At 45.4% G+C, this 20,299-nt stretch overlaps 1 protein-coding gene across 3 annotated transcripts, besides 4 other annotated features; it reads right to left on the bottom strand.

Annotated features, from left to right (window-relative positions):
* Positions 1-2,612: 2,612 nt before the first annotated feature.
* METTL13 (methyltransferase 13, eEF1A N-terminus and K55) lies at positions 2,613-18,669 on the bottom strand. 3 transcript variants are annotated; one of them, NM_015935.5, is made up of 8 exons: positions 18,209-18,669; positions 15,830-16,589; positions 14,251-14,450; positions 12,399-12,594; positions 9,713-9,877; positions 8,094-8,312; positions 5,802-5,933; positions 2,613-3,847 (listed from the first exon to the last, which is right to left on the bottom strand). In NM_015935.5, the coding sequence occupies exons 1-8, from the start codon at positions 18,359-18,361 to the stop codon at positions 3,573-3,575; spliced, it is 2,100 nt and encodes a 699-aa protein (NP_057019.3). In that variant the 5' UTR covers positions 18,362-18,669; the 3' UTR covers positions 2,613-3,572. The 3 variants fall into 3 exon arrangements, with proteins under 3 accessions (NP_057019.3, NP_001007240.1, NP_055770.1); NM_001007239.2 differs by having other exon boundaries at positions 14,251-14,442; positions 16,290-16,589; NM_014955.3 differs by having other exon boundaries at positions 18,534-18,669.
* Positions 5,324-6,523: an enhancer, noted in NCBI's record as "P300/CBP strongly-dependent group 1 enhancer chr1:171762946-171764145 (GRCh37/hg19 assembly coordinates)". NCBI's record gives its function as "activates an origin of replication core promoter dependent on BRD2, BRD4, P300/CBP, MED14 and CDK7 cofactors, with strong dependence on P300/CBP, by STARR-seq in HCT116 cells {active_cell/tissue: HCT116}" and the evidence as "EXISTENCE:reporter gene assay evidence [ECO:0000049][PMID:35650434]".
* Positions 18,323-18,856: an enhancer, noted in NCBI's record as "H3K27ac hESC enhancer chr1:171750613-171751146 (GRCh37/hg19 assembly coordinates)". NCBI's record gives its function as "activates a minimal SCP1, AML or CMV promoter by ChIP-STARR-seq in naive H9 embryonic stem cells {active_cell/tissue: H9 hESC(naive)}" and the evidence as "EXISTENCE:reporter gene assay evidence [ECO:0000049][PMID:30033119]".
* Positions 18,323-18,980: a biological region, named in NCBI's record as "Sharpr-MPRA regulatory region 13770".
* Positions 18,686-18,980: an enhancer, noted in NCBI's record as "tiled region #13770; HepG2 Activating DNase unmatched - State 1:Tss, and K562 Activating DNase unmatched - State 1:Tss". NCBI's record gives its function as "activates a minimal TATA promoter and a strong SV40 promoter by Sharpr-MPRA in HepG2 and K562 cells {active_cell/tissue: HepG2 | K562}" and the evidence as "EXISTENCE:reporter gene assay evidence [ECO:0000049][PMID:27701403]".

Below are 20,299 nucleotides of genomic sequence, written 5' to 3'. Positions count from 1 at the left end.
TGATTACTCAGAATAATCTCCCTATTTTAAAGACAGCTCATTAGCAACATCAAATCCATCTGCTACATTAATTTCCCTTTGTTGTGTAGTGTAACATAACATTCATAGGTTGCAAGGATTAGGACATGGACATCTTTGGGAGAACATTATTCTGCTTACCATATCCAATGACTCCAATGTGCAGCTGAGAATAACTGCTGGTTCTGCCAGGCACTGTGGCTCATATCTGTAATCCTAGCACTTTGGGAGGCCAAGGCAGGCAGATTGCTTGAGCCCAGCAGTTCGAGACCAGCCTGGACAACATGGTGAAACCCTGTCACTACCAATAACACAAAAATGAGCTGGGCATGGTGGTGTGCGCCTATAGTCCCAGCTACTCAGGAGGCTGAGGCAAGAGGACTGCTTGAGCCTGGGAGGCAGAGGTGGCAGTGAGCCAAAATCATACCACTTCACTCCAGTCTGGACAACAGAGTGAGACCCTGTCTCAAAAAAAAAAAAAAAATAACTACTGGTCTACCCAATCCATAAGAAGACAGACTTAGAGAAGAGGCCCAGTTAGCAGGCAGCCATGACAGAAGACTGGAGGCACACACTGAAAAATTGGTGAGGGACAAGGGCAAAAAGGCAGAGAAGGGCAATAGGCAGGCTTACCAATTTTACATTGTCACAGAACTTTTTTAGGATGGGGGGAGGGGCGAGGGCACAAACTGTCATGTGATTTATTCTCATTCAGTTCTCTGATAGTCCTGGGAAGCTAAATTGTACACTCTCCCAAGGATGATGGGACCATCCCCACTCAGCTGTAGCCATTAAAGAAAATTGAGGTCATAGATAAGACTTTTCCAGACTTTTGTAACTCATTGCTATCAGCTTGCTCCTTGTTTTGTACTCAGAAGCTGGGTGCATGCCAGATTCTCAGGAATTCCATAGGCTATCTCCCCTATAATCTCTCTATGCAAAATAGATTATAACTTGAAAATGTATACTGATTGGCCAACATTTTAATGTCAACACACACACACACACACACACACACACACGCACACACGCACGAGATTTCTGGCTTCTCTTAAAGACCTAGCTATGCTAAGACAGTGCTCCTGCAAGACAGCTCAGCTGGGACAGCCGCTGCCTTTAGAGGGGATATTTATTCTCTGGTTTGCCACAGGTCTCATCCTAGCCTTTTTGTTTTATACCTGGCTCACTCACTCCACATATTTGTTACTTGCTTGGTCTGGTAGGCATTGAAGCTTCTAACCCTCCCCCCTCCTCTAGAGCGCTCACCCCTAAAGTTAGGCAAAATTCCCATAAGGAACCATTTGCTTGTCATTAAGGCAAAAGTGAAAAGCTCTCCAGTGGAAAAGATGGGATTCAGGCCAATGGCTGTCTGTACACACACCACTTTCCTCACAATCCAGCAAGCTCCAGAGGGGAGTCAGACTAGGGTTTGAGTAAGCAGGCTGCAGCCACCAAGTGTTCTGGTGAACACACTGGTCTTCGTTGGTACAAATTTCATTTGTAGGAAATTAAGCCGAAAACTGCCTCACTTCTGTCCCTTGGTCTTTCTCCAGCCTTCAGCACATAACCAATTTCCTTCTTCTTTTATACTTAAGTCTTGATAATCATCACCCATGAGTGTCTCTTCCCACCTCCAAATGTGGGAAGCGACATGTAAATTCGTGCCTCTGTAGACCATTGCCCCTAAGATTTAACTGAGACCTTATTCTGATAACGCCTAGAGCTTGGCCATGCCACCCAAATGTGCTGCTCCAAACTCTGCACAGCATGAGGGTGATCTGACCAAGGACAGGCAGATGAGCTCCTCTGACTCAGACCCTGGGCCTCCATAACCCATCCTGACACTGCACAAGCTCAAGAGAAAAAAAAAAAATAGAGTGGCCAGGCACAGTGGCTCATGCCTGTAATCTCAACACTTTGGGAGGCCAAGGCAGGTGGATGTCTCTACAAAAAATGAGCCAGGTATGGTGGTACATGCTGTAGTCCCAGCTACCTGGAAGGCTGAGAGTTGGGAGGATCATCTGAGCCCAAAAGGTCAAGGCTGCGGTGAGCCGTGATGGTGCCAATGCACTCCAGCCTGGGTGACAGAGACCTTGTCTCAAAAACAAGGAAGAAAAAAGAAAGGACTTGCCAAGTAAGGTCCTCTGGGGTACACAGACCTGACATGAGGGATAATCTTCCCGTTACGGGGTTCCAGGGGAAGATCCCCTCCTAAAGAAAGAGAACCAAGTATTTCTAATGGGTAAGATCTAAAAACACTTCTCTGCACTCCCTCCTCTCCTTAACAGACTGACACTACTTTCTAAGGATGACAACCTAACTGAAATACAGACAGTCTCTGACTTACAATTTTTCAAGTTTACAATGGGTTATCAGGGTATTAAATGCATTTTCTACTTATGATGGATTTATCAGGATATAACCCCATCGTAGGCTGAAGAGCATCTGTATGCTTCAACTGAAAGGTCAGGGTCCATTTTTAAAGGGCCTGTGGAAAGAAGAGCCAGGTGGTGAATGGTGACAATGCCTATTTTCCATGGCACTGCTCATTAAGTCAACCTCGGTATAATTAGGAAAGACAAAATTCAAGCCAGTCTTGGAATCATTGGTTTAATGGTTCTGAATAAATGGTTAAGATTGATGTTTCCAGCCAAGTGAGATTTGGGTTTAGATATAGTTTGGGCTTAAGTATCCTTTATCTCAGATTAAATGAGACAGTGCATGTAAACCACTTAGAAGAATGCCTGGAACACATTAACTTTCATTACTAATGTTTTTGGTCATTCTTAAACATTTTCACTTCTGCCACCACCCTTTATGCAGTCTGGCACATAGCTGTCACTCAGCAAATGTGAGCAAACAAACACTAGAGACTTTAGTCTGCCAGGTCTCTAACATGCAAAGCCATGGGGCCAGGTCCATACACTCCCTCCACTGAGAAAAAGACAAATGGCTTAGGCTACAAGGTTTGGGTCACCAAGGAAAGCTGTCAAATAATGAAGTGGGTAAGCAGATTCCTAAAAATTGGAACCATTTCAGCAGCAGTTTCATCCACAGGGAGACAGAGTAAATGCTCTCTCAAATCTGTCTCACATCTATAGAAACCTTACTCTATTTATGGTCTTTTGGCATCTTGCTCTGCTATCTCACTTGAGATCACTCCTATAGAACTAATAGAGGAATAAATCAAAAGCAAACCAGTATAAGTAGAGACGCAATAAAATTTGGATGTCTTGAGTTCTGAGGGGCTTGCACACACTTGTTAAGGCATGCAGTGTGTGCTAGGGGCTTCAGCAGGGAACTCCACTCAAGGACGTGGTGTAGGAAGCAAAGACAAACCAACCCAAGTGGTACTGAAGAGGACAAGATGGGAAGGACATTTTTATTTTCCCTAATCTTCAGGCAACCTCACCAAGCTGGAGGTCACATGTAGCTGAGTGTGAAACCAAGAAAAATACGAAGCTTCAAAAGTACTGTGCGTTGTATTTCTTCATTCTCTGGCAGGCTGGGAGTCCAAGGTCAGTCTAGGCAGGAGGGCTGCTTGGCCTAAGCAGTCACACAATTTTCACCGTCTTGAGCATATCTGACAAGACATACGTGTCATCCCAACCCCTCCCAGGCTTCCTCAGGGTCCGCTCCAAAGCCTGGGCTGTTTCTAGGAGCTCTGGTGTGGCAAGTTTTTGCTCAGGGTGCAGCTGACAGAACAGGATCTCATTCACTTCACCCTCAATTCGCCGGACATATAGGAGGGGGAACACTGCCTTGAGCCCAGCCAGCACTGAGTCTTTTAGCCCCAAGTCTCGGCACACAAGGTTGAGAATAAAAACACCTATAGGGTAGGAAGAAAAGTCAGAATGACCTCACATCAGGAGACATATGAAAGACAAGGATCGGCTTTGAGGAAAATACCAATTCCTGTCCCAGGGAGACTGGTGGACTAAAACACACGGTGGTGATGAGTTTGCAGAGAATACACAGCATAGAAAGGCAGATGGAGAAAAGCATGGGGAGCATGTGAGCCATAAACAAACTCCAGCCTTATTTCTTGCTCTTCTGTGCTGCTCACATGTTATTTTACCATTCTCCAAGCCTCAGTTTCCCAAATAGCTTCTCAAAGAATAGCTTTGAGAAAGAAGTGATTCCCAGCTGGGCACGGTGGCTCATGTCTATGATCCCATCACTTTGGGAGGCTGAGGCAGGCGGATCACTCGAAGTCAGGAGTTTGAGACCAGCCTGGCCAAAATGGTGAAACCCCGGCTCTACTAAAAATATAAAAATTAGCTGGGCATGGTGGTGGACGCCTGTAATCCCAGCTGCTAGGGAGGCTGAGGCAGGAGCTGCTAGTGGGGCTGAGGCAGGAGAATCTCTTGAACCCAGGAGGCAGAGGTTGCAGTGAGCCAAAATCCAGCCTGGGTGACGGAATGAGACTTTGTCTCAATCAATCAATAGAAAGTGATTCCCTACGAAAGTAAAATTTACCAACTCCACAGGGATATTACATTCTTGGCATACACACCATAGAGTATTAACCAGTGACAGGGCCGAGGTTATCTTGACTTCTGACAATTAAGATTCCAAATCAAGCCAGTTACCACAGTGCCTTACACCAAATCAAAAATACCTAGAGGGTTGTTAACATAGGGATTAAAGGCTCCAGTTTTGAGGTGACAAGGCACTGACTTTGAGCCCCAACTGTTACCTTGCGTCACCTTGGCAAATCTTCAACCTCAGTTTCCTCATCCAAAAAGTGGACTGCTATGAAGATTAAATAACACACTGCCTAGTAGAGCACGTGTAGGAAGCATCATGTAGTAGCTAGCATCACCATGCTGGTGGGAGTGTGAACTGCTACAACCACTTTGTAAAACTGTGTGGTAGCATCTACAAAAGCCAAAAACATACCCATAACCTATGATCCAGCAATTACAACCCTGTGTATATACCCAAGAGATCTGAAAACATAATTCATCAAAAGGCATATACTAGAATGTTAATGGCAGCACCACTTATAATAGACCCACACAGGAAACAAACCAAATACGAACAGTAGAATGGATAAGCGAATTGTGTTAAGTTACATGATATAACACAGCAATAAAAATAAGCCATGTAAACACAACACTGTGAATGAGTCTCACAAACATCATGTTGAGTGAAAGAAAATGGACACTTAAAGAGTACATTCAGCCAAGTTCAGTGGCTCATGCCTGTAATCCCAGCACTTTGGGAGGCCAAGGTAGGAGGATCGCTTGAGGCTAGGAGTTTGAGACCAGCCTGGGCAACATGTTGAGATCCTATCTCTACAAAAAATAAAAATAAAAAAATTAGCCAGGCATGGTGGCATCCACCTGTAGTCCCAGCTACTCAGGTGACTGAGGTGGGAGGATTCCTTGAGACCAGGAGTTTGAGGCTACAGTGAGCCATGATCAGGCCACTGCACTCCAGCCTGGGAAACAAAGCAAAACCCTGTCTCAAAAAAAAAAAAGGGAACATTCCAACATTCCATATGATTCCATTTATATAAAGAACAAGAACAGGCAAAATTAAGCTGGGTGGACAAATGTTAAGACAGTGATTACTCTTGCGAGGACAAGTTACTGAAAGGGGATAAGAGATACGACTTTCTGGCAAGCTGGAAATTTTCTGTGTCTAGTGCTAGTAAATGGGTGTATTAAATTTGGAAAAATTGATCGAGCTCGCACTTCTGTGCATTTTTCATTAAAAAGATAATTTTTGTTAATGGTCCCTTCTCTCCTCCCTCTCCCACCTTTTGTTCTCCATACCTTCAGGAGTCAAGATGCTTTTAACCTTCTGTAGAAAAGATTGCTCCACAAATGCTGGGGGCGGACAACTCATTCCCAGTGTTGGGTCCTTACTGTCAACATCAAACATTATGACATCGTAGCAAGGCCGTGCTGGGAAAAAGAAGGAAACAAGTCCTTGTCTTTGCTGGATAAAATAATACCATTTACATTCCAACACTATACCTCCTCTTTACCAGTGGTGGGCATGGTGACTAAGTTAGAAGGATGACACAGAGGATGTGGTTTGCCTGTAAGGGCACTGATGTCATGGCCCAGGGGAGTCTTTGTCATCAGGGTTCAGAGTGTCCCATAGTAAAGATGGAACCTTCTTCCACATTTAAAAGCACCTTCCAAAGGCAAAAACATTACTGGGGTCCCCTTTGCATGAATATTTCTCGGTTAAGAGTCTATCAACACCAGTGGCTTTTGACTGTGGCAGAACATTACAATCACCTTGGGAAGCTTCTAATGTGTACTACACGCCAACCAACAGAATAAAATATCCTGGGGTAGTAGGGGGCAGATGGGAGGAGAGATGGGAAGCCTCTGGTATTTTTCTTGAGCTTTCCAGGTAATTCTAAATACAGTCAGAGTTGAGAACCACTGATCTAGACAAAGCAGCTGACTAAGCCTTTAAGGGCTGACCCAGCAAATGGTAACTTTTAACTCTGAAAACAGCACATTTTGCCTCATAGGAGAAAATGTTCTGAAATTTCAGTTAGTGTTATCTTTGCAGTTCCATGAACAAGAGCTGACTCAAGAAAGAAATGATTTTGCTAAATGGGTGAGAAAGAACTGATGAAGAAATGGATCTGCTCCTTACTATAATGTTAAATTGTTTTTATAAGGGGTAGGTCTGCAATGCCACTGACAGGTTTTTAGAAAATTTTGAGACTGTGGTCATAATTATTCAATAATTAATAAGTATTTAATTAGGACTGCTGCATGCTTATCATTGTTCATAGCACAGATCTGATTTTGGTTTCTTACAAAGAGAACATGTTGGCTCATCAAAGTCCAAGGAAAACAATAGCCTGCATTTGCAGCCTTGAGCCCTCCAGTAATCTGAAACATTTTGGTGTTACAGAAGATGGGCAGAGCCATTGAAAACTGATCTATAGATAACAACAGCAGTAACATCATGGATTAAGTACTTACCATGTGCATGGCACTGTTGTAAATACTTCACCGTATTAGCTATCTGGGCTTGGGCACCTAAACTAACCCTAGCCTCAGAGAGGGAACCTACGAAACTGTTACAATTCAATTCAGTTTGCAATTAAAATTAAGATAGCATCTGTTCAATACTTGTCCCAGGCCTCCTAGTTTGCCACACCCTTACTGGAAAATATTCTAATCTAGTGAGACCAGAGTATCTGTTATGGAATGAGCAGACCAGCAGTCCTGAACAGAACTGAACCAACCTAACTGCCTTCTCCCCGAAGGACTCGAGCTCCAGAAAGTACTAAACTCACCAGCAGCCTATCTGTATAATAGCAGAGTTACTGTCCCTAGTATTTTACAGAAAATTATTATGCTTATGGTTTTTGTCCTAAATCTGGGATGCAAATTACTAGAGCAAATGGAACCTTAATTCTAGTTGCAGAAGGCCTATCAAAATTCCCACAGAGTACCATCTGCATCAAGGTTTCTCCACCTGAGCACTGTGGAAATTCTGGGCCAGATAATTCTGTCATCAGTGCCCGTCCTGAACATTGTAAGATGTTTACTAGCATCCTAGACCTCTACCGTTTAGATGTCAGTAGCAACATCCCCCACCCCGATTTGTGACAATGAAAAATTGTCTCCATACATTACCAAATGTCAGACCCTGAGGTTGTATACCACTGATCTTACATGAATACTGTTTTGCTCTATTTCTGGCTTTACCTCCAGTTGAAATATTTACAAAAATACCTCCCAACACACATTCCACCTTTTCTTCTCTGTTTCTTTGCCCAGTTAGACTTCAGGTTTCTTAAGATGGTGAGGAAATGACAAGGTTACAGGTCAGAAAAAAGCCCACTGGTCTGTTAGCACCATAAGGGCAGGAATGGCCTGTTTTACTTATTGCTTTACATTCACACCTAACACAGTGCTAAGCATATAGCTGGTACTCTAGTGAATAAGTATATCAACAAATGAACAGGCTGAAGACTGGAACGATACTCATGCCACTCTCTTAGAGATAAACTGTAGAGGCCCTTGCGGGCCTGACAATGTCGCATCAATCATCCCTCAACACCCCTTCAAATGCTCCAAGAGCAGTACCTTCTCCTCCTCCTGCCAAGCTGGCGATATAGTCCAGGCCATCTGCAATGTGGACCTTCATTCGGTCACTCTGGGAGAAGCCAAACCACTGGGTGGCCACTTCCAACATGGAGGGATCGATCTCCACAGCATCAATGCAGGACTTTGGAAAATGATCGTGGACAAAGAGGGGGAGGCTGCCCCCGCCCAGGCCTACCACCAACAATGCCAGTGGGATCTCTGTAAGAAAAGAATAGAGCATCACATTGCCACCTGTTCACTGGAAAATTCTGTACCAGCCTCAGGGAAGGCAAAAGGGAAAGTCAGCTCACTGTCTCCATTCAGGGGATACAAGATTTAGAGGTCTCCCTGTCTCATTTCAGAAATCTAGGAGTGAATTTGACATCTGATAACTGAATCCTGGATTCATGATGACTAGATCCAGAAGATGAACTAGTGTGTTATTATTATTGTCTCTTAAAGATCTCAAAGTGGCCAGGGGCAGTGGCTCACACCTGTAATCCCAGCACTTTGGGAGGCCGAGGTGGGCAGATTACTTGAGCTCAGGAGTTCGAGACCAGCCTGGGCAACATGGCAAAATCCTGTCTATAGAAAGTAGAAAAATTAACTGGGCATGGTGACACACACCTGTGGTACCAGCTACACGGTAAGCTGACGTGGGAGCCTAAGGAGGTCAAGGCTGCAGTAAGCTGCGATCATACCACTGCACTCCAGCCTGGGCAAGAGTAAATCCCTGTCTCAAAAAAAAAGACTTCTTCACTATAAGAATTATTAGACCCTCTCTAGGAAAGGGAAGAAGAGTGGCCAAACAATCTTGCTCATGATTACAAGGCAGCAGAGGTGCAATGTCCCTTGCCCTTGACTCAAAAGGCCACACCGTCTTCTCAGACACCCTCACCAAGTAAGGGTAAGCCATTCAAGTTCCACAAATCACAGGAAAACAAAGGCCCAACTCCTACTCCTAAGCACAGAGCACAGCCACCACAGGGGGATCAAAGGAAGACAACAAAAGTCACCCGAAGGAGACAGACCCTGAGAATTAAATCTAAGAACTGAGATTCTAGTGACATACATCAACACTAAGATAGGACAAAAGTATAGGGTATTCCAAGAAGGCACATTCAGGGACTTCAGGTGAAAACGGTTACAATCACAGACAAAACATGAACAATTTCACTAATGCAGTCAGATCCAAACCTGCTATTAGCGATAAGGCTATGACTGCATTAACTATAATATGAATCTTTTCAGAAAGTAGAAATTCAAGATAGAATTGCATCTTTTGTTCAAATAATGCATTACAGAAAAGCTGAACAATTAAAATCTGTGTATTTTTACATATCTCATTGAATACATGATATACCTTAATTTTAAAAAGAAATGAACAGAAAAAATACCACTTAGACTCTAACATATTTCAATACAATTTCAATATAACAGGTTGAGTTTGAGGCAACAGTTAATTAGAATGCTCATTAACTTATAACATGGTTGAGATGAAGAAAGATACATTGTCAGCTTGTAATTGCTGTTCTTCAACTACAATGCAAGTGACACCAATTGTTTAGGTCTGTAATCTTTATGCTCCCTTCTGTGGAAGGCAGTGGCATCTCTCTCACCTAGGAGTAGCTCTGGGTTTCTCAGCAGGGCAAGGCCAGCGATCATGGCTTTGTGGTGTTCACAACACAGGTAACTCTTATCAATGGACTGCCCCGGGGCTGCAGGGAGGTCCTCCGCATCAGCAGGCCGCTGCTTCTTCCTGTCCTTTTTCCGCTTCTTCTGGGCTAAACAAGAGATATGAAGCCCTATGCTTAGTACACTAGTCCTCAGGAAGCAAGGGTTACTGGCAGCAGTGTGCTCCAGATGGCTTGAACACTCAAAAGACCCAATCGTTAAAATTTTGCAAACTGGTTGACATCATGTTGATAGCTTGAAACTGGCCGTAGTGAAATCATCTGGATGTTTGTCCCCTACAAATCTCACGTTGAAATGTGATCCCCAATGTCGGAGCCACCATGCTGGTCACGGGGGCAGATCCCTCATGAATGGCTGGGTGCCTTCCCCATGGTATTGAGTGAGTTCTCACTCTAGAGCTGTTGTTGAAAAAAGCCTGGCATCTCTTTTGCTCCCTCTCTTGCTATGTGATGTACCTGGTCTCCCTTCACCTTCTGTGATAATTGTAAGCTTCCTGAAGCCTCACCAAATGCAGAAGTTGGTACCATGCTTCTTGTACAGTCTGCAGAACCATAAGCCAAAATAAAAGTCTTTTCTTTACAAATTATCCAGTCTCAGGTATTCCTTTATAAGCAACGTAAAACAAACAAATACAGTGGTGGTATTTATACTAGAGAACTGATAAACACTATAAATTAGGATGTGCCCCCCCTACCCCGCCCCACAAAGACATAGTCATTAAACATTTAACATATACAATGGATACAAGGAAGCTGGAAAAGGAAATGGCAAATGCACACTCAAAAACCTGGGAAAACTCAACTGAGGAGCCCTGGTACCTCCCGTCTAAGAAATGTAAGGCCACTAACAGGAGAAAAGATTACTCATAAAGTCTTTTAAAGAAAGGTAAAGTTACTAATCACCTGCTATGTGCCAATTACTATACCGTAACTTTTATTTTTTTAGCTCTTCTAACAACCTTATCATTCCAATTCTTGGCACATGAACACACTAAGCCACTGAAGTGTTAAGTAAATAGGGAATCAGCAGATGGTAGAGATAGGAGTTGATCCTCGGACTGCCTGTCTCCATCACCTATCATCTTTCTGCTATGCCACACAGGTAGCACTACCAACCTTTGCTGAAGAAGGAAATCACAAGTATTCAAAAAAGGAAATAAATCCTAAAAAGCCACTCCACTTTCCCTCTCACCACTCCCTTCCCTGCTCCAGGGTATCATACTAAACGGATGGCTGTGTCTTCATAGGGATCAGCTGCATTCCCCAGCAGTAAAAAGTGCTGATGAGTGGAGTCGGGGTGCTTTTCAGATATATTAAATCACTTTTTAATATGCTCTCCTTCTTGCTCACCAATACTCCCATGAGGGAGAACGTTCTTTCCATGAGAACAAAGTGCTACCAAGAAATCAAGGAACATGACAATGGTGAAAAAACCTGAAACCCAAACTGAAAGGGGCAAAATGTTCTTTTAAGCAATTTTACTGAGATTTTAGTGAGATGAAACTGGACCAACCTGCAGCCACAGTGACCAAACAATAGGGCAGAAACCCAACAATCTTGGGTGCTCTTGGCCAGGGAAAACCCCTAAAGAAAAATACCATTTCGCTGGGTAACTTGATTCTAGGCTCAGAGCCAGTCTATGACCTCAAGCATCTGAATTCTCTGTCTCCACCCTCCTCCCAGATGGCCTTGCTATGAGGGCAGGCCAGTCAGGCAAAGGGAACAACTGGGAATCAGGAGAGCCATTTCAGCTTCCATCCTTGAATCTCTGCGCCTCAGACAGGGAAGATGCACTGGAGACGGAGAGGTGAGGGGCATTCACTTTTCGCGGTCTATATTTGACTTTTGAAGTGATTTCAATGAACAAGTATCACTTTTAAAATACAAACTAACACAGGTAAAACAAACTATTGATTCCCCATCGGGGGAGTTTCTGAGTGACAGCTGGGAGACCACTTAAAGGGATCCTAGAAGAGATGGTTTAGATCTACACTGTCCAATACTAGCCACTAGCCCCCTATGGCTGTTGAAATATAAATGTAAATTAATTAGAATTAAAGAAAATTAAAATTCAGTTCCTCAGTTACACTAGCCACATTCCAAACGCTCAGCACTACATATGGCTAGTCGCGACCACATTAGAAACTCAGGAACTAAACATCTCCTTCATCACAGGCAGTTTTACTGAACAGTGGTATACTAGAAGGCCTCTAAGTCACCCGCCAATCCAAAACCCTCTGAAACAGGTGAGTCACACTATGGAGGGCAGGGCTCACCTGCAACTTCCATAGTTCTGGCTCACCTCACAGAGGCCTATTGAAACAATACACAGATGTATATGGAGCACCTGCAAAACAGATGCCTTTAAACCGAAGACATTAATGTGATTATCACTGTATTTGGTTTCACTACTCACGTCCCCTATCACTTCAGAGCCAGGCTCTGCTCAAGAACAGAATGTACTCTGCTTATAGCTATTCACACCCTAAGAGTCCAGATGGTTAAGAACCTACAGACACCCAGGTCCATCCTACATCTCGGCCAAGCTCCCAAGAAATCTAGTCCATGCCACGGCCACTTGGGTCCCACCACTGTGCCTATGACACCTCACCTTTGTGAGACACATCCTTCAGCAACCTGGCTTCGGACTGCACCACATTCCTGTTGCTGAGGAAGATCAGTCGACGGAAGTATCGCTTGTCATCCCCTTGCACATCCTCAATGACATAGTCACCGCTCAAGGGGCTGCAGTCTTGGTGCTGAACGGTCCGGACCCCAATGTCCCCACCCACAGACAGAAAGGGGACCTGAAGGTACAACCAGAGATGTGGTCAAAACAGCAGCTCATTTAAGAAATAAGAGAAATTATAACCCCTTCCCTTTTGTGTGTATATATCCCCATACCACGGTTCTAGACAACAACTACTCCACAGATTTGCCATTCTATTAAAGTACTTTTCTGGAGCCTTTGAACTGATCTCAAAGGTTTAATTCATCTTTTGAAAATCAACTGGACACATAAAGATCTCCCAAACAACTAGTGAGATGCAGCTGATTCTCCCCAAGTTCTTTTAGGGGTTTTTCTCATCAGTAACCCCTAAAAGAACTCTCAATAGTCCAGGATAACAAAAGCTAGAGGGAACCCTCAGGAAGGGGCTGTGATTATGAGAAGGAATCTACACAAGAATAAAGATAACAAAATCCATGGGAGAAACAACCACTCCAAATCTAGAGAGATATTCCTTTCCCCTGATTATTCTCATCTATTTTTCCCCCACTTTTCTGAACCTTAGGAGAAAAATATACTTTCCCCCTAAACTTTCCCACTCCTTCCCCCTATCTTTATTTCTTTTTTTAAAGACCTATAAGACTAGTTAATAATCACCAATATCTCCTGACCCTGCAGACTCAGGCACTGGTGAGAGGCCACAAATGAAGCTCCTCAGAGGATCTGGGCTTCCTTGAAATAGGGGTCATCAACCCCAAAGTTGGCCAGGAAGAATCAAACTTACATTCATCTGTAAACACGAGTCAGCCTAGTGGGCAAAACCACAGGCCAGGAACCCAGGAGCCTGGGTTCTTTTTTTTCAGATCTGTTACTATTTGCACCAAGCCTCTAGATACCTTTGCTTTCCCACCTATCAAGAAGGATCAAAGCTTGGGCAACATAGGGAGACCCTGTCTCTACAAAAAATGTAAAAAAAAAACTAGCCAGGTATGGTGGCTTGCACCTATAGTCCCAGCTACTACCAAAGGCTGAGGTGGGAGGATGGTTTGAACCCAGGAGGTTGAGGCTGAGGCTGCAGTGAGCCGTGATCACACCACTGAACTCCAGTCCAGCCTGGGCAACAGAGCAAGACCCTATCTCAAAAAAGAAAAAAAAGGATCAACTCCTCATCATGAAGTTCTTTTAGTAAAATCACTTGTTCGTTACCCATGGTGACCAGGATAGCACAAGACAGTTGGTGTTAACTGATAATACCATATCACCACTTAGGCAAAAACCTTCGGTTTCCTTCCCAGTAAAACACCTGACCAGCAATGTGAATACCTGGATAACTGTGCTGAGCTGTTTTGGCCCTCTTCCATTTATACCCTCAGATAATGATAGTTCTAAGAAGCAAAATGACCAAGAAAGTCCAGTGTGGAAGGAGAAATCCACAGTCAGAGCAACTCAAATTAGGAAGAACTGAAGCCCGCAATGAGTAGAGCATTTCCATCCTGCCATGTCTATGGACTCTGAGAGGCTCCCCCAGACACAGACGCTACTGTGCTCACTTTCCTCTCATTGCCTGGGGCAAAGGACAGTTTCCCTGCCATTTAACCCTTAGCTGCTGATACCCCTCCAGGATTAGATGAAGAGTCACAGACTCTAGTCCTAGCTCCTGCCAAGGCTCCCTCTGCCTCCCTGGCTGCTAACATGACTTCAGAGACCCATGAAAGCCGTACGAAAGCTTTGTTACCTGCTGCTGGGTGGGCATCCCAGCTGGGGCCAGCTCCATGACTCTAGCCGACAGCTCAGCTTGGATGTGGTCCATGCTTTCATACTGCTGACCTCGGTGAAGGGCCACTGTAATCAACCTCCTGAAGCCAGCACTGGCCGCCAGCTGTTTCCGGCCCTCATCCATGCCAAAGAGCCACTCGGTCTCCCGGCCCTGAGGGACTAGAAAAAAGAACTTGGTTACAGGGAGTCCTGGAAAGTGATCAAGCCCACAACCAATATGGCCCAAACGGCAGGGAGCCAGTCCCTGTCCAAGACCAGCATCTTCCCCAACTGTGACCCACTGAGGAGCTAACAATTCTCTAGTTCACAACATCTAGGGCAAAGCAGCCCATCAGACATAAGGCAGGACCAAGGGTGGAGAAGAAGTGTGGGCATGTCCGTAGGGGAAGGAGGCAGACACCTACCACAAGAAAAACAGCAGTAATGCCAACACAAATAAGCCATGCCAGGCATGACTCCAAGCTGTTGACAAATATATATTAATGGAATCCTCCAACAGTCCAAGATGCAGGTAGTAGTATTATTCCCATTTTTACATATGAGGAAACTGAGAAACAGAAGTTACACTATTTGCCCAACTTCGCACAATAAGTAAATGGTGAAGCTGGGACTCAAACCCAGGCAGTCTAGCCCCAGACTCTACCCACGCTTGTATTCACTGCACTATTTATTTCCACACATGGACAGACAGAATTATAGAATACTTGAAAAACTAGCTCAGTCACCAGGAAACAAATTACCGTAACACCAAGACCATAAACACTTTGCATTTGTCTACAATGTTCCACTTTTGAAAGCACTTCCTCCTACTATCTTTTTTATCCTTATTAAGATAAATCTGATATAACTTACTGCTTTCAGTAATAATGGCTAACATTTACACAGCACTTCCAAGGCCAGGTACCATTTCTAAGAGCTTTTATACTTCTCACAACTACACCAGAGTTACAATCCCATCAAGGCAGAGAAAGAAAAGTAACCTGTCTAATGTCACACCATCAGGAAATGACTGAGCCAAAACTGAAACCCAAACAGTCTGGTTCCAGAGCTCACTTTTTTAGCTGCTACCCTATGCTGCCTCTCCAAATTTTGCAGAGAAGCACAGCAACTTCCCCAGGTCCTGCAGCTCACAGGCTACAGCTGGGACTAGAACCTATGTCTTAGACTTGCTAGTCCAGCATTACTTCCATTACTCCATGCTACAAAGTAACTAGCATCTCTATATCATATGTGACCTCCTAAATTTATCTCTATTCTCTCTCTTCCCTACCAACCCCATTCTCACACTTCATCAAGCCTTTGCAATGGCAGATGAAAAGGAATAGGTCTCAACTCCAAGTAGGTTGCTAGAGAGCTATTACTCTCCTTTCATCATGCCTTGGGTAGTCTAATCCTCTGGAAGTACAAACCCCTGCAAGACAAAAAACAGTCCAGAATCCCACCAAAGCCCCAGCCCAGCCTCAGCCCCAGCCCCAGCCCAAGCCCCAGCCCCTGTAAGCCAGCCCCTCCAGGGAAGAGAGGGAGCAATCCCAACTCACTGATGAAAATCGCAAAATGATTGTCCCGCGATGGTTTCACAGTGGGGCTGTCCACCACGTGGAGGGTGTAGCGTGGCTCCCCCGTGTCCCCATCGCACAAGTCCAGAGACACACTCCCCAGCCTGGCCTTGCGGCGCAGCTGGCTGCACAGCCAGGCATACTGCTGTCGCTCCTGCACCGCCTCGGCCAGCCGCTCGGCACTCTCCAGCCGCACAGGCTTGCGCTGCTCCTGAGCACACAGCTCAAAGATCTGAAGGGCAGAGCCAGGGACTGGCCTGAACTTGGTCATGATGAAGGCAAAGACAGGCAAGGAGAACTGAGGCTCTGCTTCCAACACCTGGTCCTGGCTGTTGGCCACTTGGTGCACCCTCACCATCCACCCCTCCCGGGAGAAGTGGCCCACTGCTTTCTTCAGGATGTGAGCCTGAGCCAGGGAGATGCAGAGATAGCGACCGCCCACCTGCAGGACACGGCCAACCTCAGCCAGCATCCTGTCCACCTGTTGTAAGGTCTTCTCTTCCTCATCTGTCAGGACAGCATCCAGGGTGCCCTTGTCCAACACCACCTGGAACGAGGCATCAGGAAACTCCATCTGCGTCATGTCCATCTTCAAGAAGCTCATCTGGGGCCGTCGGGTGGCATTACATTCCTTCATTTGCTTGATGACAACCTCACTGATGTCGATGTTCACTATATCCCGATAGCCCACATCATACAGTTGCTCACTCAGTTCTGAGTTGCCACACCCAATCACCAGCACCTGGAGAAAAAATTCACAGACAAGAGGGAGGTAATCAAAGCAAAGGACTGTACTTCAGGTACTTCAAGGAATCAAGTCTCACCTTGGCTGAGTCACATTTTCAGAAGGTGGAGACGCTACTGCCAGAGAAAGAGCGACATTGTAGAGTTGATGCTAGACTCTATCTTGAAACACCACATATACTTGCTAGTGAAAACCACATTCAGCTACAATACAGGTTATATGAGAATGGGCTTTGTGTTGCAGAAACAAATTAATCATAACTGTTCTTTTCTCTAAATCATGCACTTATTACTCAGGAATTAATAGGAAGTCAGAGAATCCAAATATAGAGTTACAGTTGAAATCCTAGGCCAGGAATAACCCTATTTCCTCACTCTACTCATGCCTTTGGCTCCTTTAGACAATAAAGTACACTTTGTGAGGATTCAAATCTTACTTCCATCACGGATTCCATCTCATGATATTTGGCTATCTTCTGAAGCCGAACTTAAAATTCAGATTGTTGTCTCCCTCTCCAGGGAGCAATCTCCCATTCAAACTTAGAAATTCTGATATTGCCATCTTTGGAAAAGCATGGTACAAAGAGATGTGCATATGCTCTGGAGCCAGACAGGCCTGAGTTTAAATCCCCACATGACCACCTGGACATGATCTTGGGCAAAAAAAAAAAAAAAAGTGGCTCTCGGGGCCTCAGTTTCCTCATCTGTAAAATGTATGCATGGCCACTCACCTGAATTTATGATGAGAATTCAAAGATTGCACATGCACATACACAGCACCCAACATAAGGCTTGGCACATAAAGCTTCCCCACAAATGTTAAGTTTTCTACCTTCCTCCTTCCCTACCTCCAGTACAATCTCACCTATACCAAACCCATTGTTGTACTTATCACGTTTCACTTCTGGAACATGTGCAGGGTTTACGTCTTAATGCTCTTATAGTTTAAGGACTGAGCAGTGCCTGAAACTTGGGGCGCACTCAACGACTATTTGAAAAACAAATTCATACACAAAGTCACACCTGCTGCAGGTTGCACAGGAATGCACAGTGACAGAAGAACATACTTTCAAGATGGGAAGTCACTCTTCAAGTAGGGTTATTAATCCAAGAATGAGCTGGGGTGGGAGGTCTATTATCTGAAAACCTTTAAAGAAATGTTTTTTTTTTTAGACAGGGTCTCACTCTGTCACCCAGGCTGGAGTGCAGTGGCGTGATCATGGCTCACTGCAGCCTCGACCTCCTGGGCTCAAGCGATCCTCCCGCCTAAGCCTCCCGAGTAGCTGGAAATACAGATGCGCGCCACCACGCCCGGCTAATTTTTTCATTTTTTGTAGAGACGAGGTCTCATGTTCCCCAGGCTGGTCTTTAACTCCAGGGCTCAAGCGATCCTCCCACCTCGGTCTCCCAAAGTGTTCGGATTACAGGTGTGAGCCACTGCGCCCGGCCTGAAAGAATATTCTAGTTTGTCTTTTAGCAGGAACAATGCAGGAAATGCTGAAATATGCGTCCAACTAGGGTCCTCCCGCCTGTCACTGTCCACCAAGTGCAAGATTCCTGTTACCAGTTCCCACCTTCCGGAGCACGTACGAAGGGCTACCAACCCGCGCTCCTCACCTTTTCCCTGGGCTTGATATATTTATGTAGCACCCCGCACAGTTCCAGGTAGGTTCCATACCACTCGAAAGCTTTCTTTCCTCGCTGCTGGAAGAACTTCTCCCAATAGTCAACGGAGCCAAACTCCCTGGAACTTTTAGGTAAGAGGTTCATGTTCCTACTGCCGAAGCTGCGTTTTCAAGACTCCCCTATTCCCTGTGAGATACCATTTGAGGAGCTTGCCCACCACACGCAGGCTCCGGGACACTGCAGTGGGAATTCTTTCCACGGAAAAACAGCCACATTGATTTGTTCCCCCACTCCAAACCCCAGGAATGACCCTTACACGACAAACGCACGCATGGACCACTGAATCTCACACACGCTTGCCCCCTCCTCCGCGCCTGCTGTTCCTTCCCCACGTGAAGAGCCCCTCACACTTTTCCCGAACTAGATTTCCGAGCCCATAACCATATCCGGGTGCGAAGCCTCGTGATTCGTCGGCCGGCCCAGCCCAACTCAGCTAGTCATTGGTCGCTGCTTTGCGTTTCTATCACCTCATTGGCTGCGACGTGCTTGCCTTTCTCCGGAGGCTCCGTCGCAGACACCTAAACGCTTTTTTGACCTGAGGCCGGCCGACCATTCACGGAACGGGGCGGGACCGCGGGCCGGAGTTGTGGCGGAAGAGGCCGGGCCTCTGTGAGAACTAGGTCACGTCCGGGTGAGGAGTGAGCGCGGCTGTGCTGTGGTTGGGCCCTCCCTCCAGGCGGGGCGGAGAGCGCGCTTGCTTCCTGGGCTCGGCCTCCGCTTTGTCTTGGAGCCGGCTTAATCACTGACTCCGATCGTGCGCCGCACAAGGGCGGAGCGCGGCAGGCGGGAGCGTACTGGTAGAGGAGGACGAAAAGAAAAACCTATACAGATAGGAGAGAAGTGAGGCAGGAAATGAGTAAAGCCAGTCCGTCGTAAAAACGCTGCACATTCTAACCTTGTCAGCTTCTGCGCACCAGCACCCCCCGCCTTATTTTGCCACCTCTGCACCAAAATATAGGATTCTGCTATCAAAAGTGTAATAACATGAAAACTCCCTCTTCCTTCTCTCCGCAAAGCACAGCATGCAAAACTAGCCTTTCATTTTGATAATTGGCCTCCTTGTGTTATTCTGACGTTATTTATAACTGCTTATTTTATGTGTTTGATAAACATACTGTACTTTCACATGCTCATGCTAATACCCTGAGGAAGCTTCTGTGAAGGGCACTTTTTTTTCAGACAGGGTCTGTCTCTGTCGCCCAGACTGGAGTGCAGTGGTGCAGTCATGGCTCACTGCAGTCTCCACTTTCCAGGGGTCAGGGGATCCTCCCACCTCAGCCTCCCAAGTAGCACGCCACTACCGCTGGCTAATTTTTTTTTTTTTTTTGTAGAAATGGGGTTTCGCCATGTTGTCCGGGCTGTTCTCAAACTCCTGAGCTCAAATGATCATCTCGCCTCACCCTACCAAAGTGCTGGGATGACTGGTGTGAGCCACTATGCTGGCAGGCACTATTTGAAAATGACCAAATATGTGTATCACTGGGCCTTTCATACCATGATAAATTGCAGGAGGAATATACTGATTGCGGAGAGCAGATAGGCTTGGAATTGAGCATGTGTGCTGTGGGCTGTTACATACTACACTACCACAGGTAGATAGCCAGGTAGACTGTTAATAGTTAAGTAGGTTAGATTGGACTTAAACATTGGTTTAAAAAAGTGATTCTCAAACTGGCATGCGTCAGAATCACCTGGAGGACTTGTTAAAACACAGAATTCCCCAGTCCAACCCCTGTTCTAAGTCATTAGTTCAGTGGTGAGGCCCAAGGATTTGTGTTTCTAACAAGTTCCCACGATGCTGATGATGTTGGTCCCGGAACCACACTTTTTTGAGAACCACTGTTTTAAAATACAATTAAGTCAAAATGGATATGGTTCAAAATTCGCAATTTTCAATGATAAATCTAAAAGCTTTCTACAAGTAACATAAGAGAAAATCTGTTTTCATGATCCCTTTGCTGAGTTCACATTGTTCCTCTCTACCCAAGATAAAGAGAAGGAGTCCTTGAAGTAGTAACTTCA

This window comes from Homo sapiens, chromosome 1 (assembly GCF_000001405.40).
Source record: "Homo sapiens chromosome 1, GRCh38.p14 Primary Assembly".
Classification (NCBI taxonomy): Eukaryota; Metazoa; Chordata; class Mammalia; order Primates; family Hominidae; genus Homo; species Homo sapiens.
This window is presented reverse-complemented; position numbering and strand designations above follow the sequence as displayed.